Below are 22923 nucleotides of genomic sequence, written 5' to 3' on the forward strand. Positions count from 1 at the left end.
CAGGCGGATCACCTGAGTTCTGGACTTTGAGACCAGCCTGGCCAACATGGTGAAACCCGTCTGTACTAAAAACTATTAAAAAATTAGCCAGGCATAGTGGCAGGAGCCTGTAATCCCAGCTACTTGGGAGGCTGGGGCAGGAGAATTGCTTGAACCTGGGAGGTGGAGGTTGCAGTGAACTGATATCGCACCATTGCATTCCGGCCTGGGCGACAGAGTGAAACTCCATCTCGAAAATAAATAAATAAATAAATAAATAAATAAATAGGCCTGGCATGGTGGCTCACACCTGTAATCTCAGCACTTTGGGAGGCTGAGGCAGCCAGATAATTTAAGGTCAGGAGTTCAAGACCAGCTTGGCTAACATGATGAAACATGACGAAACCCCCGTCTCTGCTAAAAATTCAAAAATTAGCCAGTCATGGTTGTACATGCCTGTAATCCCAGCTACTCGGGAGGCTGAGGCAGGAAAATCGCTTGAACCTAGAAAGTGGAGGTTGCAGTGAGCTGAGATCACGCCACTGCACTCCAGCTTGGGCAACAGAGCAAGATTCCATCTCAAAAAATATATAAAAAATAAAAATAGGCTGGGCGCAGTGGCTCACGCCTGTAATCTCAGCACTTTGGGAGACCGAGGCAGACAGATCAACTGAGGTCGAGGTTTGAGACCAGCCTGACCAACATAGAGAAACCCTCTCTCTACTAAAATACAAACATTGGGTGGGGCGAGTCATCGTCTGACGTCTGGCCGTGAGATGTTTCGGGAGCCGGGGTCTCTCCGCTGCAGACATGACGAAGGGCCTTGTTTTAGGAATCTATTCCAAAGAAAAAGAAGATGATGTGCCACAGTTCACAAGTGCAGGAGAGAATCTTGATAAATTGATAGCTGGAAAGCTGAGAGAGACTTTGAACATATCTGGACCACCTCTGAAGGCAGGCAAGACTCGAAACTTTTATGGTCTGCATCAGGACTTCCCCAGCGTGGTGCTAGTTGGCCTCGGCAAAAAGGCAGCCAGAATCGACGAACAGGAAAACTGGCAGGAAGGCAAAGAAAACATCAGAGCTGCTGTTGCAGCAGGATGCAGGCAGATTCAAGACCTGGAGCTCTCTTCCGTGGAGGTGGATCCCTGTAGAGATGCTCAGGCTGCTGAGGAGGGCGCGGTGCTTGGTCTCTATGAATACGATGACCTAAAGCAAAAAAAGAAGATGGCTATGTCGGTGAAGCTCTATGGAACTGGGGATCAGGAGGCCTGGCAGAAAGGAGTCCTGTTTGCTTCTGGGCAGAACTTGGCATGATGGAGACGCCAGCCAGCGAGATGATGCCAACCAGATTTGCCGAAATTATTGAGAAGAATCTCAAAAGCGCTAGTAGTAAACCGAGTTTCATATCAGACCCAGGTCTTGGATTGAGGAACAGGCAATGGGATCATTCCTCAGTGTGGCCAAAGGATCTGACGAGCCCTCAGTCTTCTTGGAAATTCACTACATAGGCAGCCCCAATGCAGACAAACCACCCCTTGTTTGTTGGGAAAGGAATTACCTTTGACAGTGGTGGTATCTCCATCAAGGCTTCTGCAAATATGGACCTCATGAGGGCCGACATGGGAGGAGCTACAACTATATGCTCAGCCATTGTGTCTGCTGCAAATCTCAGTTTGCCCATTAATATTATAGGTCTGGCCCCTCTGTGAAAACATGCCCAGCGGCAAGGCCAACAAGCTGGGGGATGTTGTTAGAGCCAGGAACAGGAAGACCATCCAGGTTGGTAACACTGATGCTGAGGGGAGGCTCATACTGGCTGATGCGCTCTGTTACGTGCACACATTTAACCCGAAGGTCATCCTCAATGCCACCACCTTAACAGGTGTCATAGATGTAGCTTTGGGGTCAGGTGCCACTGGGGTCTTTACCAATTCATCCTGGCTCTGGAACAAGCTCTTCGAGGCCAGCATTGAAACAGGGGACCGTGTCTGGAGGATGCCTCTCTTCAAACATTGTACAAGACAGGTTGTAGATTGCCAGCTGGCTGATGTTAACAACATTGGAAAATATAGATCTGCGGGAGCATGTACATCTGCGGCATTCCTGAAAGAATTCGTGACTCATCCTAAGTGGGCACATTTAGACATAGCAGGTGTGATGACCAACAAAGATGAGGTTCCCTATCTATGGAAAGGCATGACCGGGAGGCCCACAAGGACTCTCATAGAGTTCTTACTTCGTTTCAGTCAAGACAATGCTTAGTTCAGATACTCAAAAATGTCTTCACTCTATCTTAAATTGGACAGTTGAAGTTAAAAGGTTTTTGAATGAATGGATGAAAATATTTTAAAGGAGGCAATTTATATTTAAAAATGTAGAACACAATGAAATTTTTATGCCTTGATTTTTTTTTCATTTTACACAAAGATTTATATATTTTTTTTTTGAGACGGAGTCTCACTCTGTCACCCAGGCTGGAGTGCAGGTGGCATGATCTCAGCTCACTGCAACCTCCGCCTCCTAGGTTCAAGCGATTCTCCCACCTCAGCCACCTGAATACCTGGGACTACAGGTGCCCACCACCATGCCCGGCTGATTTTTGTATTTTTAATGGAGACGGGGTTTCACCATATTGGCCAGGCTGGTCTCAAAACTCCTGACCCTGTGATCTGCCCGCCTCGGCCTCCCAAAGTGCTGGGATTACAGGCGTAAGCCACCACGCCCGGCCAGTATATATTTTTAATTGAGAAGCAAAATTGTACTTCAGATTTGTGATGCTAGGAACATGAGCAAACTGAAAATTACTAACCACTTGTCAGAAACAATAAATCCAACTTTTTGTGCAAAAAAAAAAATACAAATATTAGCTGGGCATGGTGGTGCATGCCTGTAATCCCAGCTACTCGGGAGGCTGAGGCAGAATTGCTTGAACCTGGGAGGCGGAGACTGCAGTGAGCTGAGATTGTGCCACTGCTGACTTTGTCTCAAAAAACAAAACAAAACAAAAAAACAAAATGAAAACAAAAAGCCAGGGCTGCCTCTGCTCAATAATGTTCTATCTTTGTTCCGCCTCTTCTCTGGGGTCTCACTTCTTGGGAGCCTGTGTGAAGGTGAATTCCTCTGAAAGCTGACTGCCCCTATTTGGGACTCCCCAGTCTCTTTCTGAGAAATGGTGACATTGTTCCCAGCACTTCCTCTCCCTTCCTAGGCAGCTTCTGCAGCCACCACTGAGCCTTCCTCACATCCTCCTTCTTCAGGCTTGGGCTTTCCACCTTTCACCATTCCCCTACCCCATGCTGCTCCACCGCACTCTGGGGAGGGGGCTGGACTGGGCACTCTTGTCCCCCAGGCTGAGCCTCCCTCCATCCCTATGCTGCCTGCTTCCCAGGAACATGCTTGGGCAGCAGGCTGTGGCTCTGATTGGCTTTCTGGCCGTCAGGAACATGTCCCAACATGTTGAGCTCTGGCATAGAAGAGGCTGGTGGCTATTTTGTCCTTGGGCTGCCTGTTTTCAGGTGAGGAAGGGGATGGTAGGAGACAGGAGACCTCTAAAGACCCCAGGTAAACCTTAGCCTGTTACTCTGAACAGGGTATGTGATCTGCCAGCAGATCCTTGCGACAGGGCTGGGATCTGATGCATGTGTGCTTGTGTGAGTGTGTGCTGGGAGTCAGATTCTGTGTGTGACTTTTAACAGCCTGCTCCCTTGCCTTTTTCAGGGCAGAAGTCCTCCCTTAGAGTGTGTCTGGGTACACATTCAAGTGCATGGTTGCAAACTTTTTTTTTTAAAGCACTGAATAGTACTAGACACTTAGTAGGTACTTAAGAAATATTGAATGTCGTGGTGGTGGTGAGCTAGAAGTTATAAAAAAAATTCTTTCCCAAAAACAACAACAAAAAGAATTATTTCATTGTGAAGCTCAGTACCACAAAAATTTAAATAATTCATTACAAGCCTTTATTAAAAAAAATTTTCTCCCCAAAGTAAACAGACAGACAATGTCTAGTCTATTTGAAATGCCTGAAAGCAGAGGGGCTTCAAGGCAGTGGGAGAAGGTGCCTGTCCTCTGCTGGACATTTGACAACCAGCCCTTTGGATGGTTTGGATGTATAGGAGCGAAGGTGCAGACAGCAGTGGGGCTTAGAGTGGGGTCCTGAGGCTGTGCCGTGGCCTTTCTGGGGTTTAGCCACAATCCTGGCCTGACTCCAGGGCGAGGCAGGCCAAGGGGGTCTGCTACTGTGTCCTCCCACCCCTACCTGGGCTCCCATCCCCACAGCAGAGGAGAAAGAAGCCTGTCCTCCCCGAGGTCAGCTGCGTTAGAGGAAGAAGACTGGGCATGTCTGGGCAGAGATTTCCAGACTCTGAGCAGCCTGAGATGTCAGTAATTGTAGCTGCTCCAAGCCTGGGTTCTGTTTTTTAGTGGGATTTCTGTTCAGATGAACAATCCATCCTCTGCAATTTTTTAAAAGCAAAACTGCAAATGTTTCAGGCACAGAAAGGAGGCAAAGGTGAAGTCCAGGGGAGGTCAGGGGTGTGAGGTAGATGGGAGCGGATAGACACATCACTCATTTCTGTGTCTGTCAGAAGAACCAGTAGACACTTCCAGAATTGTCCTTTATTTATGTCATCTCCATAAACCATCTGCAAATGAGGGTTATTTGGCATTTTTGTCATTTTGGAGCCACAGAAATAAAGGATGACAAGCAGAGAGCCCCGGGCAGGAGGCAAAAGTCCTGTGTTCCAACTATAGTCATTTCTTTGCTGCATGATCTGAGTTAGGTCACCAGACTTCTCTGAGCCCCAGTTTCCCCAGCAGTGTATACGGGCTATGTGGGGAGTATTCAGGAGACAGACAACTCACTCGTCAAATCCTCCCCTTCCTGGCCAACAAAGCTGCTGCAACCACAGGGATTTCTTCTGTTCAGGTGAGTGTAGGGTGTAGGGAGATTGGTTCAATGTCCAATTCTTCTGTTTCCCTGGAGATCAGGTTGCCCTTTTTTGGTAGTCTCTCCAATTCCCTCCTTCCCGGAAGCATGTGACAATCAACAACTTTGTATACTTAAGTTCAGTGGACCTCAATTTCCTCATCTGTGAAATAAACGGGACTGAAAAATCATTCTGGCCTCAAGATGCTTTGTTGGGGTGTCTAGGTGCTCCAGGTGCTTCTGGGAGAGGTGACCTAGTGAGGGATCAGTGGGAATAGAGGTGATATTGTGGGGCTTTTCTGGAAATTGCAGAGAGGTGCATCGTTTTTATAATTTATGAATTTTTATGTATTAATGTCATCCTCCTGATCTTTTCAGCTGCATTGGGTAAATCCTTGCCTGCCAGAGTGGGTCAGCGGTGAGCCAGAAAGGGGGCTCATTCTAACAGTGCTGTGTCCTCCTGGAGAGTGCCAACTCATTCTCCAAGTAAAAAAAGCCAGATTTGTGGCTCACTTCGTGGGGAAATGTGTCCAGCGCACCAACGCAGGCGAGGGACTGGGGGAGGAGGGAAGTGCCCTCCTGCAGCACGCGAGGTTCCGGGACCGGCTGGCCTGCTGGAACTCGGCCAGGCTCAGCTGGCTCGGCGCTGGGCAGCCAGGAGCCTGGGCCCCGGGGAGGGCGGTCCCGGGCGGCGCGGTGGGCCGAGCGCGGGTCCCGCCTCCTTGAGGCGGGCCCGGGCGGGGCGGTTGTATATCAGGGCCGCGCTGAGCTGCGCCAGCTGAGGTGTGAGCAGCTGCCGAAGTCAGTTCCTTGTGGAGCCGGAGCTGGGCGCGGATTCGCCGAGGCACCGAGGCACTCAGAGGAGGTGAGAGAGCGGCGGCAGACAACAGGGGACCCCGGGCCGGCGGCCCAGAGCCGAGCCAAGCGTGCCCGCGTGTGTCCCTGCGTGTCCGCGAGGATGCGTGTTCGCGGGTGTGTGCTGCGTTCACAGGTGTTTCTGCGGCAGGTGAATGACGGGCGTGGGTCGGTGCGCGCTCGGCTTGCGCACACGGTGTCTCTAAGTGCGCGGGTGACGAGAGTCGGGATGTGCCGGAGACCCCGGGGCGGAGAGCGGGATTACAAGTACAGGAATCCCTGGTCACGCTCCCCGCCCCTGGAAACCCAGCTGGGGCGAGGGAGGGCGTGGACGGGACCGTTCTGGGAGCTCGCCTTTGGCTGCGGTTGGCTCCAGGCCCCAGGCGCAGTTTGCTCGCGGCGTGGGGATGAAGTCCGTGTCCCTGGAGGGGCCCAGGAAGGGCGAGGAAAGCGGAGTGGAGTAAGTTCGTCTAGGATCGGTCCCGGGTGGCTCTGGGATCCAATCTGCGCCGCCCTGGCCCAGGTCCCAGGTTCAGGTCCTTTACGCCACTGTGTCCACCACCTGGCTGAGCGCTGAGGTCAGCGCGGGCTGTTTCCTGGCCCTTGGGAATGTGCCAGGACCCGTCCCCTAAGGACTAGCGAGGAGGTGACTCACTGTGACAAGGAGACCCCAGGGAACGGACTGTATGAGGTCAGAACCCCGCCCGGGATGGGGTACAGCGGGACTCCAGAAGCCCTCTCCCCTGCCCCTTCGCGGTCTCCGTCCTCCCATCGGCACAGTGACCTATTTGGCTGGAACAGTTTGTTCCCAAGGAAGCCGGGCACTGGAGGTCCGGGACACCGCGTCGGGTCCCCGCTCCGCGGCGCGCTGTAGGGGTCGGGGAGTCACGGCCCTGCTCTGGGCGGGCTCTAACCAGCCTGTCAGTCGGGGAAGGGCAAGGGTCTCCTCTACCTCTTTCCCACCGCGGCCGGGAGAATCGCGGCCCAGCCTGTCCTCGGGTCGGGGCGCTGGACTCCGGGGCGGGAGCGGAGCCCACGCCTGGATGGGAGGCGGGGAGGGTTCATGTCTTTGAGGGGTGGGGGGTCTGGGGGGCACGACGCTGCTCAGGGCCTCTATCAGCTGCCTCGGGGGCTCAGGGCTTCCCGACCTAGCCCAGATTCCCTCTCCGAAAGCTACAGGGCTGAGCGGAGCAGGGGGGCGAGTCGCCCCCTGGGGCGCCGCCGCCTGGCGCGGACCACAGCGCGTCCTCTCCGTCCCAAACCCCTGGGGGACACTTGCGCCCTCTTCGTGAGGAAAAGCATCTTGGAGCTGGGTTAGGAACTTGGGGCGCCCAGGCAGCTTCCCCTCTCCTTGCCTCCCTCCACGTCGCGTTTCTGGGAGGACTTGCGAGCGGTTTTGTTTTCGTTGCTCCCGTCTATTTTTATTTTCCAGGGATCTGACTCATCCCGTGCTTTGGGCGTGGAGATAAGGTGGAGGGGCCGGCTCCCGGCGCGCGCGCGCGTGCGTGTCTGCGCGGGCGTGTGTGTGTGTGTGTGTGTGTGTGTGTGTGTGTGTGTCTGTGTCAGAGACGGCACAAGAGCGCGCGGTTTCCCAACAGCGGCGGGAGTTTCGGAAGCCTGGCCGGCTCAGCGTGACGTGTTCGCGGCCCCCCGGTCCCCTCCCATTCTCCCCCTCCCCACCCCAGGGTGACGCGCAGCCGGAGTGGAAGCAGTTTTGGCGGGCGAGCAGCGCCTTGCAGGAAACTGACTCATCACTACTCCCTCCAGCGGTCCGAGGCTCTGCCCACGCACCTCCCACTCCGCGCGTGATTTCCTGGAGGCCGGCGCCCCCTCCCGGCCCTGGCGGGAATAGCACACAGGCTTTCCCGCGGAGTGGGGCTGGCCGGCGCGAACCGCCGCGGCTACTCCTGGGCTCATCCGAGATCAACCCCTATGCCATTACCACCCCTTCAAAGGAGCACTCCTTAGGTTCAACAGTATTCACTGAGCTCTTACTGGAAATTAAAATATGGCTGAAGTCTAAGGCAGGAAGGCCAATAAAGGAGGCTATTTTTAATTGTTTCTAAAACAAGGGTTTGCGTTTCTGAGTTTTCTTTGGGCTGAAAGTTATTATGAGCATGAGAGCAGATTTTGATGGGGGAGGAGAGGCCTATGAGAGCCATAAGAGAAGGAGGGGTGGTAGAAGAGGAGAGGGTGCCTGCCTAGATCCTAGTCCTGTCTTGAACTCCCGAGAGCCAGGGAATATCCAGCACCTTGATGAAGCCCTAGGCGGGCGCCTCCTCCTTGTGCCTATGATGTATTGAGACCCAGAATGTCCATTTCAAACATACCAGTGTGTCTCCGCTTGGCTGGCAACCCAAGAGTGCCCATCTGAGGAATTGTGCCAAACACTTGCTTGAATCTTCAATCTGGATTAAGTTGGTCTCGGGAGGCAGGGCCTCAGCAATCTATATTTTGAAAAAACTCCCTAGGTGCTTTTCTTTCTTTCTTTTTTTCTTTCTTTCTTTCTTTCTTTCTTTCTTTCTTTCTTTCTTTCTTTCTTTCTTTTTCTTTCTTTCTTTCTTTTTCTTTCTTTTCTTTCTTTCTTTCTTTCTTTCTTTCTTTCTTTCTTTCTTTCTTCCTTTCTCTTTCTCTCTTTCTTTCTCTTTCTCTCTTTCTTTCTTTTCTTTCGACAGAGTTGCACTCTGTCACCCAGGCTGGAGTGCAATGGCACCATCCTGGACTCAAGTAGTCCTCCTGTTTCAGCCTCCCAAGTAACCGGGACCACAGGCGTGATCCCCCCGCCCCCATGCCCAGATTTTTTTTTTTTTTTTTTTTTTTTTGAGATGCGGTCTCGCTCTGTCACCCAGGCTGGAGTGCAGTGGCGTGATCTCGGCTCACTGCAAGCTCCGCCTCCCGGGTTCACGCCATTCTCCTGCCTCAGCCTCCCGAGTAGCTGGGACTACAGGTGCTGCCATCATGCCCGGCTAATTTTTTTTTGTATTTTTAGTAGAGACGGGGTTTCACCGTGTTAGCCAGGATGGTCTCAATCTCCTGACCTCGTGCTCCGCCCTCCTCGGCCTCCCAAAGTGCTGGGATTACAGGTGTGAGACACTGCACCCAACCACCCAGCTAATTTTTATTTATTTTTATTTTTAGTAGAGACAGGGTCTCAGCTAGTTGCCCAGGCTAGTCTTGGACCCTTGGGCTCAAATGATTCTCCCACCTCTGCCTCCCAGAGTATTAGGATTACAGGCATAAGCCACTGCCCCTGGCCTCCCCAAGTGATTGTGATGGGCCTCTCTGGTTAAGAAACCTCAAAATTAGAGAGGGAGTGGGGTTCAATACTACAGCACAGGACTCAGGGCAAACAGGCCTGGGTTCAGATCCTGGCTGTGCCACTTATGAACTGTGTGATGTTAGGCAAGTTACTTAACTTATCTGAGCCTTGGTTGCCTCTTCTGTAAAAAGGGAGCTAATAGATATCCACTTTTTAGGAGGATTGATATTTTTAAACTGCTTAGAACAGCCCCCAAACATAAAAATATATAAATAAATCCCAACTCATGCCTAGCAGAGGGTGGATAGAGGTTATTTGAGGGCTCTGTCCACTGTACTGGGTGACCCCTTTATGGGGCAGTGGCCTTTGGCCTTTTTAGCTGTATGACTCAGGGGCAAGTCTCATATCTCTTCCATCTCCTGCCCTTTAAACTTGGTGTGAAGTTACCAAGAGCCTCCTCTCCCAACCAGCTGGGACGTGAAACTGTGGGCTCCACTGATCACAAGCAGTGGGGTGAGGTGGGGTGGAGCAGATGTGGCATGTGTCCCGGGCTTCCTGCCTCATGAGGACTCAGCAGAGCTTTCACCCCCAGAAACTGCAAGTTGGGACTTGTCCCTAGGAAAATCCAGTTGCTGCCAAGGTCGTGCAGTCACTCAGCCCTGGAGTCAAGCCAGAGCAGGCAGGTAGGTGCCAGGGCTCCCTCATGGGCAAACTCACTCTCCGTTTTCCCTCTCCTGAAGGGGGAGGAGAGGAGCCAGGTAGACCAGCCACCTTTAATTTTCTTTTTGCCTGCAAAACGGTTTCCTTGGACACAGGCAACACGAGGCAGGGGCTGCCAGGTGTCTAGACTTCAGATCACCTGATGTGCCTGGCAGGATGTGGCTCAGCCTGGGAGAAATCATCCCTTGCGCTGCCCCGCCCGGCCCCTCCTTACCCCTAGGCCACCCGCCTGACGACATCCTTGGGAAAGGCCCTCAGCCTACAGCACCTGTCAGCTGCTGTCTGAAGGAGGTAGTTGGCAGGGGGAAGTGATAGGGGGGAGGCTCAGTAAAACTGAAGGCAGAGAGGAATAATCATACTTCTGTTTTCAATGCACTTCTCTATACGAAGTGCTGCTGGCACGTTACCTACATTAACTCAGTTAATTCTCATGTCTATCCTCTGAGACAGTCACTATTACTATCCCCATTTTATAGATGAGGAAACTAGAGCTCAGACAAGTTAAGTTGCTTGCCCAGGGTCACCTAGTAAAACCTGGACTCCAGCCCAGGTGATCTGGCTCCAGAGCCCTCCTGCTTAACCACCAGGATACAGCCTTTCATTCAGCTCTGTTCTGTCTGCCTTGCTGCATGGACTCTGTGATCAATTTCTTGAGTATGTGTCTGTAGCCATGCTCTTTAAACTTGTACATGGCCCCATTTATGGATGAGGAAACTGAGACCTAGAGACATTAAGTGGCTTTTTAAAGCTTACGTAGTAACTGGCAGAGCTAGGACCACAACCCGGGTGCTTTTTGCCCCAAAGTCCCGGGTACTTTTACTTGGCAGAGCAGGGTTACCCTACTTGGGGATCTGGGTCGGGGGACTTAGGAGGCTGGAGGAACTGTCAGACTGTTTCTTCTTTTGGGAATTGACCTTCTGGCCAGGGCTGCGATTAGGAAACTGCTGGACTCTGGCAATTCACACATATTTGGGGGGCATTCACACCCATGAGGGACACCTCTGGGGGGAAAACAAATTGATTTTAGCTGATAATACCTGGTGGCAAACAGGACCCTGGTCCTTGCTCTTGCAATAGACTTGCCTTTGTTGACATTAGCTTGCCCTTCAGTTGCCTGCTCTCCCAGTGACCTTGGTGTGCCAGGCTGGCTGAGCTCTGCTGGTGGGGGTCAGGCCTCCTGTGGGAAGGAAGCAGGAAGACCAGCTGGAAGGAGTGAGAGAGACCCTCTGGTAGGAAGACGTCACCTGAGGTGACACAGCAAAGCCCGGCCAGGTAACATAGTGTCTAATCTCCGCCGTGACCAGGGCCTTCCTTGTATCTCTGCTGCAGGCGCCATGTCAGAACCGGCTGGGGATGTCCGTCAGAACCCATGCGGCAGCAAGGCCTGCCGCCGCCTCTTCGGCCCAGTGGACAGCGAGCAGCTGAGCCGCGACTGTGATGCGCTAATGGCGGGCTGCATCCAGGAGGCCCGTGAGCGATGGAACTTCGACTTTGTCACCGAGACACCACTGGAGGGTGACTTCGCCTGGGAGCGTGTGCGGGGCCTTGGCCTGCCCAAGCTCTACCTTCCCACGGGGCCCCGGCGAGGCCGGGATGAGTTGGGAGGAGGCAGGCGGCCTGGCACCTCACCTGCTCTGCTGCAGGGGACAGCAGAGGAAGACCATGTGGACCTGTCACTGTCTTGTACCCTTGTGCCTCGCTCAGGGGAGCAGGCTGAAGGGTCCCCAGGTGGACCTGGAGACTCTCAGGGTCGAAAACGGCGGCAGACCAGCATGACAGGTGCGGACATGTGCACGGAAGGACTTTGTAAGGGACCAGGATTCTCAGAATCCATGGTCCAAGGGCTGACCTGTCTGGTCCTGGTCCAGCATGCTCCAGGTAGAAGGAAACAGGCCCAGAGAGGGGAAGCAACCTCCCTGAGGTCACACAGCAAGTAGGCAGCAAAGACCAACTAGCTAACATTTATTGGGAATGTTCATTATGCCAGGCCCTTTGCCAAGCTTCTAAGGTAGATTTATTTAGTCCTTATAGCAATGTTATAACATAAGACATTCTTGTCACCCTGCCCGCCTTTCTTTTTGAGACAGGTGTCTTAACTCTGTTGGCCAGACTGGAGTGCAGTGATACGATCATGGCTCACTGCAGCTTCAAACTCCTGGGCTCAAGCGATCTTCCTACCTCAGCCTCCTGGGTAGCTGGGAAGCTGGGACTATAGTTGTACACCACTACGCCCGGTTAATTTTTTGAGTTTTTGTAGAGACAAGGTCTCACCATGTTGCCCGGGCTGGTCTTGAACTCCTGAGCTCAAGCAGTCCTCCTGCCTCAGCCTCCCAAAGTGTTGTGATTACAGGCGTGAGCCACCATGCCCAGCCCCTTGCCATCCTTTTAGGGCAAGGAAACCAGGCTCAGAGAGGTAGAGTGATTTATCTAAGGTCTCAAAGTGAATTTGCCGTTGGGTCAAGACTAATTATAATAACAACAACTACTGACGTTTATATGGGCCCGGCATTGTGCTGAACACTTTCATGGATTTTGTAACAGAATCCCTAGATCAGCACTGTCCAGTAACTCTGCAGGGATGGGAGTGTCCGGTACAGGGGCCACGAGCCACATACGGCTGTTGTGCATTTGACACACAGCTCATGTGACTGAGGAACTGAATTGTTCATTTTATTTGATTGTAGTCTGTTTAAACAAGCACACAGAGCTAGTAGTGGTTCCTCTGCTGGGCAGCTTGACTTAGAGCAGACCCATGGGTGCGGGTGCGGTGATGGATAAAATCACATCTGTGAAGCATGGTGGGACACTCCATAATACCCCTCAAGAGACAGAGTGGACGTTCCCCGAGTTCTTCCTGTTCTCAGCAGTCGGCCCCATTGGCCCCAGGGAAGGGTGTCCTGGCCCCCCACTGTCTTCCTCAGTTGGGCAGCTCCGCCGCGTCCTCTTCTTCTTGGCCTGGCTGACTTCTGCTGTCTCTCCTCAGATTTCTACCACTCCAAACGCCGGCTGATCTTCTCCAAGAGGAAGCCCTAATCCGCCCACAGGAAGCCTGCAGTCCTGGAAGCGCGAGGGCCTCAAAGGCCCGCTCTACATCTTCTGCCTTAGTCTCAGTTTGTGTGTCTTAATTATTATTTGTGTTTTAATTTAAACACCTCCTCATGTACATACCCTGGCCGCCCCCTGCCCCCCAGCCTCTGGCATTAGAATTATTTAAACAAAAACTAGGCGGTTGAATGAGAGGTTCCTAAGAGTGCTGGGCATTTTTATTTTATGAAATACTATTTAAAGCCTCCTCATCCCGTGTTCTCCTTTTCCTCTCTCCCGGAGGTTGGGTGGGCCGGCTTCATGCCAGCTACTTCCTCCTCCCCACTTGTCCGCTGGGTGGTACCCTCTGGAGGGGTGTGGCTCCTTCCCATCGCTGTCACAGGCGGTTATGAAATTCACCCCCTTTCCTGGACACTCAGACCTGAATTCTTTTTCATTTGAGAAGTAAACAGATGGCACTTTGAAGGGGCCTCACCGAGTGGGGGCATCATCAAAAACTTTGGAGTCCCCTCACCTCCTCTAAGGTTGGGCAGGGTGACCCTGAAGTGAGCACAGCCTAGGGCTGAGCTGGGGACCTGGTACCCTCCTGGCTCTTGATACCCCCCTCTGTCTTGTGAAGGCAGGGGGAAGGTGGGGTCCTGGAGCAGACCACCCCGCCTGCCCTCATGGCCCCTCTGACCTGCACTGGGGAGCCCGTCTCAGTGTTGAGCCTTTTCCCTCTTTGGCTCCCCTGTACCTTTTGAGGAGCCCCAGCTACCCTTTTTCTCCAGCTGGGCTCTGCAATTCCCCTCTGCTGCTGTCCCTCCCCCTTGTCCTTTCCCTTCAGTACCCTCTCAGCTCCAGGTGGCTCTGAGGTGCCTGTCCCACCCCCACCCCCAGCTCAATGGACTGGAAGGGGAAGGGACACACAAGAAGAAGGGCACCCTAGTTCTACCTCAGGCAGCTCAAGCAGCGACCGCCCCCTCCTCTAGCTGTGGGGGTGAGGGTCCCATGTGGTGGCACAGGCCCCCTTGAGTGGGGTTATCTCTGTGTTAGGGGTATATGATGGGGGAGTAGATCTTTCTAGGAGGGAGACACTGGCCCCTCAAATCGTCCAGCGACCTTCCTCATCCACCCCATCCCTCCCCAGTTCATTGCACTTTGATTAGCAGCGGAACAAGGAGTCAGACATTTTAAGATGGTGGCAGTAGAGGCTATGGACAGGGCATGCCACGTGGGCTCATATGGGGCTGGGAGTAGTTGTCTTTCCTGGCACTAACGTTGAGCCCCTGGAGGCACTGAAGTGCTTAGTGTACTTGGAGTATTGGGGTCTGACCCCAAACACCTTCCAGCTCCTGTAACATACTGGCCTGGACTGTTTTCTCTCGGCTCCCCATGTGTCCTGGTTCCCGTTTCTCCACCTAGACTGTAAACCTCTCGAGGGCAGGGACCACACCCTGTACTGTTCTGTGTCTTTCACAGCTCCTCCCACAATGCTGAATATACAGCAGGTGCTCAATAAATGATTCTTAGTGACTTTACTTGTAATATTACTATTGTGGTTATTATACCTTATAAGAACAAATAAATGGGCTTTTGGGAAGGATTTCATAATTAAATAATTTTAAAAATTAAGCATTTAAATTTAGAGAATGCAGAAAACTTAGCAAACAGAAAGACTGCTGCAAAAAACAACAGCAAAACAAAAACTACTGTCACACCTCTGCAAAGATCACCAATGTCAATATTTTGGTTTGTTGTGTAATCTTTTTGTAAAGAATATATTATAGCTTAACATCATTATTCATCAGATAAATGCAAATTAAGATACCACAATAAGATACCACCATACACTTACCAGAATGATTAAAAAAGACTGACAGTGCCAAGCATTGGCAAGGTTATGGAGCAACTGGATCTCTTATTTAAAAAAACTGTTTGGGCCGGGCGCAGTGGCTCACACCTAGAATCCCAGTGCTTCGGGAGGCTGAGGCAGGAGATCACTTGAGGCCAAGGGTTCAAGACCAGCCTGGCCAACATGGTGAAATCTCTACTAAAAATACAAAAATTAGCTGGGCATGGTGGTGCACGCTTGTAATCCCAGCTACTTGGAAGGCTGAGGTGGGAGGATCACTTGAACCCAGGAGGCAGAGGTTGCAGTCAGCTGAGATCATACCACTGTACTCCAGCCTCTTCCAGGGTGACAGTGAGATTCATCTCAAATAAATACATAAATAAAAAACTGTTTGGTAATATCTTCTAAAGATGCCTACCTTCATGGCTACCTCATGACCCAGTAATTCTATTCCTGGACATGTTCTCGAGAGAAATGAGTTCATATTTCCACTGAAAAAGGCATAAGAATGTTCTACACAGTGGCTCACACCTATAATCCCAGCACTTTGGGAGGCTAAGGCAGGAGGACGGCTTGAGCCCAAGAGTGTGAGACCAGTTTGGGCAACATAGCGAGACTCTTATCTCTACAAAAAAAAAAAAAAAAAAAATAGCCAGGCGTGGTGGAGCGTGCCTGTAGTCCCAGCTACCTGGGAGGCTGAGGTGGGAGGATCACTTGAGGAGCTTGGGAAGTCGAGGCTGCAGTGAGCCCTGACTGCACCACTGCACTCCAGCCTGGGCAACAGAGTGAGACCTTGTCTGTCTCCCTCAAAAAGAAAAAAACCAAAAGAATGCTTCCAGCAGCATTATTATTAACAGACCCAAGCTAGAAATAACTGAAATGTCCATAACAGAATAGATATGCAAATTGTGGTATATTTATATAGTGGAAAGTTATCCAACATTACAAAAAACAAGGTGCTGTTGCATGCATCTTCTGGTTGTCTATTCATAATTAACCACCCCAAGACTGAGTGGCTTAAAACAATAATCATTTATTTGCTCCCAACACTGCAATTTGGCCCAGAACTACTTTTCAAATGTGGAATAATTCTCTACTGCACAGGGCAGAGCTTTCTACTAGAATCATAGAGTTCTGAAACGAGACTCTCCCCGCCAGAGGGGACTTCCAGGGACTTCACAACTGTCTACTTATCCACAGATAAAAGTCCAGGACCAGGGAATACACTGGGGCGTGTGACCCAAGTGCTTGTCCCATAGCCTGCACCTGTTTCAGAGCCCTCTCTTGCTCCGGCCGCTGCTTAAACATGGCAGCTTACTAAATCATCCAATAAATGGGCTGGAGTGATCTTTAGTACACTGCCTCTGAAACCCAAATTAAAAAGTGGTAAGAGGGGGGTGGGGGCCTGGGGGAGGGATAGCATTAGGAGAAATACCTAATGTAAATGATGAGTTGATGGGTGCAGCAAACCAACATGGCACATGTATACCTATGTATCAAACCTGCACATTGTGCTCATGTACCCTAGAACTTAAAGTATAATTTAAAAAAAAGAAAAAAAAATGGTAAGAGGTGCAAGATATACTAAGTTGTCCTTTACCACAGAGGGAATGACCCAGCATGCCCCAGTTTATTTGACCACTTAAAACTTTAATGATTTGATAGATCTCTAAATTGTTGTAGGGAAAGTGGATGTGAACCACTTTTGATCCCCTTTCCTGATACGGATTGAAAAGAACACACTTGTCATAGTATTGGCTTCTTACCATCAGAGGCTGTGTAGACTATTCTAGTAAGGATACGGTATCTGATCATGGCTGTGATTAGGGCTGCCCCGTGGATAATCATCAATCACCATGCTTCAGTGGGTTTTTACAGGGGCAGTATGTGGTGGATCCTATGGAGATACTATAGGGACCACCTCAGTATCCTTTAAGTCTCTGAGGGAATCACTAATTTCTACCCACCTGGGATATGCTATTGCTTCTGATTTACTACCTTGACCAGCGGGATAATTTTAGAGACTTCTACTTGGTCTTTCTTTCTATAATGGCTCTTATTCTACAGATGACAGAGAACGTGAGAATGTGGCAGAATGTGAGAGTTCTACTATCTGTGAAGCTATGCATCCCAATTTGTACTCAAGGGCTAGGAAATAACCATAGAGTAGGTCCACAGACTCACTGGGAGATGAGCTTGGCTAGGACTCTATTACCATCTGGCCTTCTATGTCCCCCTCTCTGAAAGGAGGCTATAATGGTGTTTTGGGTCATCTAGAAGCAGTGAAAGCTCAAACCCTTTATCTAACAGACCTCAAATGATCTGGTTATTCCCAGTTCCACACTGTACAGCTATTCCGGTAAATAGCCAGAGGGTGCTTTCGGGAAGAATCAAGGAAACGTTTATTTTATATGTTTATAGTGGCATTACGGATCTTTCTCTTCCATCAGTGCGTCCTGGGTCAGAACTGGCTCAAAGCTGGAAACTAGGTAAGAGATTGCGATTTTCTGTCTCGGCAGCTGACATCAGCCTCTGCTCACTCACCTTGATCTTTTGTGGTTAAGTCAAGCAAGACTCTCATTAAATGCTCACCTCTCTTGCCCTAAGGACACCACTGCTGCAGAGCCCTGCAGACCAAAGACCCCTGGTTAACATTCAGGCCTTGCTGCCTGTCATTATAATTGTGTCCACCTTGCCTCTGATGATTAAGTGGCCCTATGTGGTCTCTGCTCTTCCAGAACCTTAATGTCTCCATCGACAGTGGCCATGGCATTCCATGGGAGTATCTCCTCTGTCAACCTGGGCTATGGAGGACACCCAGCACTGAGCTCCTTTCACTAGGCACTTCTTTATTGCTTTGCAAAGGGAAGGCCTTTTGGGCCCTCGTCTCTGAGCCTTCTAATCCGTCATTAGTACTCTTCCAAGGCTGTTTCAGCATTGCCACCTCACTGTCAGCCATCACTGTGTCTAAACCTTAAGGACCAATTCAGCAGTGTGTTAAGACCAGTTCCAGTGGTCTCGCCAGGATGTTAAATTCTGAGTCAAAGGAAGGGTCCCTCCATAAAACCCTCTTTATCTAGCTTTGTATTCCTCAGCTCCTCCCAGCCCCAGTCCCACATCCTCAAGATCTCCTCCTATATGTGTTTTCCTGTTCCTACTAATATTTGTCAGCCAGACCTGTAGCTTTTTTTTGTGAATAAGCTATTTCCTCCAGCAATGGGGACTATATACTTTCCTGCTTGGGCAATGGTAAGACCTGACCCTAATTACTGGTCTAGAGCAGGGGTAGGCAAACCATAGTTCCATGCACCAGCTGCCTGTTTTTGTATAGAAAGTTTTATTGGAATGCACGCACACTTATTTGTTTACCTGTTGCCCATGGTTGTTTTTGCACTGTCGTTTTAAGTGCAAAAGTAGAATCGAATAGTTGCAACAGAGACCACATGGCCTGCATATCTAAAATATTTACTCTCTTGCCCTTTAAGAAAATGTTTTTTGACCCTGGTCTAGAGGCAGTGAGGAAAGGAGGGAAGGATCTTTAGGAAGATAAGCATCACCTTGTGAGACATCCACCTCAGGTGAGTCATTAGTGTGGTCTTCAGGTTATGGGTGATTGTTCTCTAGTAACGGAAGGAGCCCTTCTGCAGGCCTAGAAGGCTCAAGGAAGCTGAGGGTACAAGCTTCTCAAGTGCGTCTATCCAAATATCTCCATTCAGGTCCTAATGCCCCATTCTTTCCCTATCAGAATTCTGACCCTAGGGTAGTAGGTCTGCTGAGGCTGTGCCTTTAGTCTCTCTTGAAGCTTCACCCCTTTTACAATCAGATCCTGGGCCTGATTTTCAGCACAGCCTACTCTTGGGCCATGAGAGATAAGTGTCATTTAGAATGCTGTTATGGAGTTCTGTCTTCACAACATACCCTGAGTTTTCTTCAAGGTTTCTAGGGCAATTAACAAAAGCCAACCAACCCCATAATCCTTATCATTACTATTGCCCTGTATCTTTCAAGTATTAGACTTACAGTGTAAGTCAGTGTTGCCCCTGAAATTTTACCTGTGCCTCATCCCAATCCACTACACACATTGTGGACACTGTGATGCTGTAGTCTGCCAAGAGTTATCACCACCTTACTCACTACCAGCATTTGGGTCCGCGTTGTCACTTCACTGGTGAGGGATCTGTTTTCAGAAGCCCATCCTGCTTCTGCCATTTCTGGTAACTGTCTTAGTCACCCCCAACCCCCACTCCCCAAACAACTTGAGACAAGGACTTGTGTGCAGGTGGAATGCCTGGGAGGTAGTCCCTGGAGGCACAGCAGGAAAGTAGAGAATGTGAGAAAGAAAAGGAGAAGGCCAATAAAGGTGTCAGTGAACAAGTTCCACTGTGTGCAACTGGGGCTTAAACCTGCTAGGGAGCCTCAAGGAAACCGTGTGGAACACACCCTACAATTTTCTCTCTGGAGTACTCACCTGGCTATCTAGGCTACTTATCTAAGGACACTGTCCATCACTGATAGGGCTGCCTCTAGGGCCTAGTCCAGATTGCTCCTCATGGGGTGGAAGAAATTCCTGTAATGGTGAAGAAAACCAGAGGGATGAAGACATTTGAGGTGGGAAATCATTAGCCTGCCAGGAACTATCTACCAAAGGTTTAGGTGAACACAGATATGGGCCAGATAGTGCCTGAGCTCACGCCCCTAGGAAGTGGTGAGGGGCCAGGATGTCCACGCTGATGACTCCAGATCACACTGCCTGCTCAATACACCAGAAAGGGGAAGTGCCTCACCCAGGGCCACTGCTGCCGTGACAATTCTAAGAGGAGGCTTGCAGGGACCCACCTCTTTCTGTGCACCTCCTCAGTCTTTGATGTAACTTAGGTTTTCTCAATCTTATGTAAAATGCTACCCAAATGCAGCTTTGAAGCAAGCTCCCTGACCCTGGTTTTCTGTGGGATTGCCCACCTGCCTAAGCTCCTTGAGCTATTTTGGAGTCAGTAGCTGGAGGCAGGGAGGCTCAGGTCCTAGCTTGCACATCAGCTCACACTGCAGGGCCCTAGAATGGAGAGTTTGTTGCTTCAGGATTTAACAAGCTGTGAAGAGCTTTCAAGCATCTGTAAGGAATTAAAAATTAGTGAGTGTGAAAACTTTCCTAATTGTAAAACAGTTTCACTGCCCTTGATCCTTGTCCATTGATTCTATTTTTGCAAAACCTAGTTCCGAGCACAGTGTTTTTAAGTTCAGCAACATCGTATTTTTCAGTTAGCTCCATCGTTTCCAAACGTGCCTGGATCTAATTTTTCTCCTAGCGCTTGGTGTGTCCTGGCAGGTTTTTTCCCTGGGGCTGGTGCCAAGGACAAGGCCAGGCTGAGCTCTCAGCACCCGCAGGACTCCTTGGCACTCCGGCTCCACCCGCGAGGGTGTGACCACTCTTGCCTTCCCCATGTCCCTTTTATTTCCATGGTGGGGAGCAGGGCCGGTGAGGGTTGGGGGGCAAATAAACTGAGGATGCCTTGAGATCCTGAGGGCTGGGCCTTAAAAATCCAACCCCACTCTGTTCTCAGAGGAGTGGAGAGAGTCCTTTGCTGCAAAGAAGGTCCTGGACTTGTTGCATTTGCCCAGATAGAGCAGCAAGCCCCGCTGGCCCTATTTTCAGTACATATCCCGAGTCCAGCCACCTTTCATCACCTCCACCACTGCCCTCCGCGGCCAAGCCACTGCCTCTTGTCTGGATTATGTTAACTCCTCATGGGTCTCCCTGCTGCTGCTTTTGCCTAGTACAGCCTCTTCTCCAGAATGAAAGCAGCGGGGGGATCCCTTTCAAACCTAAGTCGGTTCATGTCGCCCTCCAAATGGGCCCATATGGTCTCCGGGTCCTGCCTGTTTCCTCTGTCTCCATCTCCGCCCATCCTTCCCTCTCCCGCGTGCTCCCACCATGGAGCTCTCCTCGTTGTTTCTCTTGCACACAAAGCGTGCTCCTGCCTCGGGGCCTCGGCACTCACCGTTCCCTCCCCCTCGAACCTCTTCTTCCAGATCTTCTTTCTCACATGTCCTTTCCAACATCACCTCCTCAGGCCTCCCCTGAGCACCTCATCTAAAATACACCTCACACCACCATTCTAGCCCTTCAGTCTACTTTGCTTTTCTTCAAAACAATTACCACTGTTTGGCATTATATTACATATGGCTTTTTTTACCCTACATTTTTCTACATTTTCATATTCTATATTTTCTATATTTTGTATTTCGTAGCACAGTGTCCAGCACCTAGAAGTGCTTAATAAACATTTGTTGAATAAATAAGCCGGGTGCGGTGGCTAGTGCCTGTAATCCCAGCACTTTGGGAGGCCGAGGCAGGTGGATCACTTGAGTCCAGGAGTTCCAGACCAGCCTGGACAACATGGTGAAACCCCTATCTCTACGAAAAATACAATAATTAGCTGGGTGTGTTGGTGCATGCCTATAATCCCAGCTACTTGGGAGGCTGAGGTGTAAGGATCTCTTAAGCCCGGGAGGCTGTAGTGAGCTATGATTGTGCCATTGCACTCCAGCCTAAGCAACAGAGTGAGGCCCTGTCTCAAAAATAATAATAATAATAAATAAATGAGTACCTTATTTAGTTCAATAAAGCCTCAGAAACTCTCTGAGTATCAATTTCCTCAGATAGTTGGTTGTGAGAATATTCATTTATTTAGAAATTAAATTTAATAATTTTTAAAACTTTTTGTTTTGAAATAATCTTATACATCCAGAGAAGTTGCAAATATAGTAAAATAATCCCCATATACCCTTTACCATTGTTCCTAAATGTTAACATTTTACCATGTTTCCTTCATCAGTCTCTCTTTGTATATGTACATACTATTGTTAAGTTTCTTTTTGAATAGGTAATGTATACAGATAGTACACAACATAAAATACATTAAAAGTAAACAGTGAAACATAAATCTGCCCCCTCCTCCATCCCAACACTTCTATCCAGCCCAAATCTGACTAGTTTCTTGTATATCCTGTCAGAAATGTTCTATGCATTTACAATCATATATGAATGTGTGTGCTTATCTATTTTTTTCTTTTTTTGAGACAGGGCCTCATTCTGCCGCCCAGGCTGGAGTGCAGTGGTACAATCACGGCTCACTGCAGCCTTGACCTCCAGGGCTCAGGCGATCCTCCCACCTTAGCTTCCCGAGTAGCTGGTACTACAGACATGCGCCACCACGCCTGGCTAATTTTGTTTATTTTTTATAGAGACAAGGTTTCACCTTGTTGCCCAGGCTGGTCTTTAACTCCTGGGCTCAAGCAATCTGCCTGTCTCAGCCTCCAAAAGTGCTAGGATTACAGGTGTGAGCCACCTCACCTGGCCTGTATTAGTCCATTTTCACACTGCTATAGAGAAATACCGGAAACTGGGTAATTTACAAAGGAAAGAGATTTAATTGACTCACAGTTCCATATGGCTGGGGAGGCCTCAGGAGACTTACAATCATGGCGGAAGGTGAGGGGAAGCAAGGACCTTCTTCACATGGCAGCAGGGGAGGAAAGTATATAAGCACAGGAAAAACTGCCATTTATAAAACCATCAGCTCTCTTGAGAATTCACTCACTGTTACGAGAACAGCATGGGGGAAACTGCCCCCATAATCCAATCACTTCCTTCCTTTGACACATAGGGAGTATAATTCAAGATGAGATTTGGGTGAGGACATAAAACTTAACTATATCACGGCCCTTATCTATTGCATATATTTCATACACACACATACACTTTTTTCTTCATAAAAAGCACACTATCCTCACTGTTCTGCACCTTACTTTTTTCATATGACACAATATCTTGAAGGTCATTCCATATCACTCCACCTGGATCTTTCTCATTTTCTTCACGGTGCAGAGTATGCCAATGTTCGGATGTATCAGAGCTCATTTAACCAGCTCCCTACTGATGGAAATTTAGATCATTTCCAATCCTTTGCTACCACAGACAATACTGTAATGAGTATCCTTCCATACTGTCATATTGTATATCATCTGTGGAATCAATGACTGAAAGTGAAATTGCTGGGTAGAAAGATTTTTGCATTTTAAATGTTGACAGATATTATACACTTCTTTTCATAAAAGTTGTACCAGTTTATATTCCTGCCAATAATGTGTGAATGTGTTTCCTACATCCTTTATGACATAATATATCACTTTTTGGATCTTACTAATTGAATAGCTGAAAATGATGTCTCGGTGTAGTTTTATTTTTTATTTTTACCCTCATCTTCTTTGTGATGGTACGTAGTTTTATCTTTTATTTCTCTTATT

The 22923-nt window shown here is 49.6% G+C and overlaps 1 protein-coding gene, 2 long non-coding RNA genes and 1 pseudogene across 14 annotated transcripts, besides 11 other annotated features; 2 read left to right on the forward strand and 2 right to left on the reverse strand.

The window, feature by feature from the left end:
• Positions 594–2099, reverse strand: PANDAR (promoter of CDKN1A antisense DNA damage activated RNA). The gene has a single exon (NR_109836.1). It is a non-coding gene; the product is annotated as a promoter of CDKN1A antisense DNA damage activated RNA (long non-coding RNA).
• On the forward strand, positions 723–2418 carry LAP3P2 (leucine aminopeptidase 3 pseudogene 2; annotated as a pseudogene).
• Positions 3199–3288: an enhancer, noted in NCBI's record as "active region_24436". NCBI's record gives its function as "activates an Ori minimal core promoter by ATAC-STARR-seq in GM12878 lymphoblastoid cells {active_cell/tissue: GM12878}" and the evidence as "EXISTENCE:reporter gene assay evidence [ECO:0000049][PMID:35858748]".
• Positions 3339–3408: an enhancer, noted in NCBI's record as "active region_24437". NCBI's record gives its function as "activates an Ori minimal core promoter by ATAC-STARR-seq in GM12878 lymphoblastoid cells {active_cell/tissue: GM12878}" and the evidence as "EXISTENCE:reporter gene assay evidence [ECO:0000049][PMID:35858748]".
• Positions 3339–4587: a biological region, named in NCBI's record as "BRD4-independent group 4 enhancer GRCh37_chr6:36644192-36645391".
• Positions 3388–4587: an enhancer, noted in NCBI's record as "BRD4-independent group 4 enhancer chr6:36644192-36645391 (GRCh37/hg19 assembly coordinates)". NCBI's record gives its function as "activates an origin of replication core promoter dependent on BRD2, P300/CBP, MED14 and CDK7 cofactors, and independent of BRD4, by STARR-seq in HCT116 cells {active_cell/tissue: HCT116}" and the evidence as "EXISTENCE:reporter gene assay evidence [ECO:0000049][PMID:35650434]".
• Positions 3436–14305, forward strand: CDKN1A (cyclin dependent kinase inhibitor 1A). Of its 12 annotated transcripts, none has more exons than NM_001291549.3 (4): positions 3436–3543; positions 4669–4906; positions 11070–11519; positions 12724–14305. In NM_001291549.3, exons 2-4 carry the CDS (start codon positions 4810–4812, stop codon positions 12771–12773), a joined length of 597 nt encoding a protein of 198 aa, NP_001278478.1. In that variant the 5' UTR covers positions 3436–3543; positions 4669–4809; the 3' UTR covers positions 12774–14305. The 12 variants fall into 12 exon arrangements, 10 of the variants coding, with proteins under 10 accessions (NP_001278478.1, NP_001361438.1, NP_510867.1 ...); NM_001374509.1 differs by having other exon boundaries at positions 4761–4906; NM_078467.3 differs by having other exon boundaries at positions 3436–3497; positions 4875–4906.
• DINOL (damage induced long noncoding RNA) lies at positions 4582–5532 on the reverse strand. The gene has a single exon (NR_144384.1). It is a non-coding gene; the product is annotated as a damage induced long noncoding RNA (long non-coding RNA).
• Positions 5500–5729: a silencer, noted in NCBI's record as "silent region_17118". NCBI's record gives its function as "represses an Ori minimal core promoter by ATAC-STARR-seq in GM12878 lymphoblastoid cells {active_cell/tissue: GM12878}" and the evidence as "EXISTENCE:reporter gene assay evidence [ECO:0000049][PMID:35858748]".
• Positions 5780–5969: an enhancer, noted in NCBI's record as "active region_24438". NCBI's record gives its function as "activates an Ori minimal core promoter by ATAC-STARR-seq in GM12878 lymphoblastoid cells {active_cell/tissue: GM12878}" and the evidence as "EXISTENCE:reporter gene assay evidence [ECO:0000049][PMID:35858748]".
• Positions 5981–6568: an enhancer, noted in NCBI's record as "H3K27ac-H3K4me1 hESC enhancer chr6:36646785-36647372 (GRCh37/hg19 assembly coordinates)". NCBI's record gives its function as "activates a minimal SCP1, AML or CMV promoter by ChIP-STARR-seq in naive H9 embryonic stem cells {active_cell/tissue: H9 hESC(naive)}" and the evidence as "EXISTENCE:reporter gene assay evidence [ECO:0000049][PMID:30033119]".
• Positions 7300–7689: a silencer, noted in NCBI's record as "silent region_17119". NCBI's record gives its function as "represses an Ori minimal core promoter by ATAC-STARR-seq in GM12878 lymphoblastoid cells {active_cell/tissue: GM12878}" and the evidence as "EXISTENCE:reporter gene assay evidence [ECO:0000049][PMID:35858748]".
• Positions 9559–9678: an enhancer, noted in NCBI's record as "active region_24439". NCBI's record gives its function as "activates an Ori minimal core promoter by ATAC-STARR-seq in GM12878 lymphoblastoid cells {active_cell/tissue: GM12878}" and the evidence as "EXISTENCE:reporter gene assay evidence [ECO:0000049][PMID:35858748]".
• Positions 9959–10078: an enhancer, noted in NCBI's record as "active region_24440". NCBI's record gives its function as "activates an Ori minimal core promoter by ATAC-STARR-seq in GM12878 lymphoblastoid cells {active_cell/tissue: GM12878}" and the evidence as "EXISTENCE:reporter gene assay evidence [ECO:0000049][PMID:35858748]".
• Positions 14750–14829: a silencer, noted in NCBI's record as "silent region_17120". NCBI's record gives its function as "represses an Ori minimal core promoter by ATAC-STARR-seq in GM12878 lymphoblastoid cells {active_cell/tissue: GM12878}" and the evidence as "EXISTENCE:reporter gene assay evidence [ECO:0000049][PMID:35858748]".

The sequence above is a fragment of the Homo sapiens genome, chromosome 6 (genome assembly GCF_000001405.40).
Source record: "Homo sapiens chromosome 6, GRCh38.p14 Primary Assembly".
Lineage (NCBI taxonomy): Eukaryota > Metazoa > Chordata > Mammalia > Primates > Hominidae > Homo > Homo sapiens.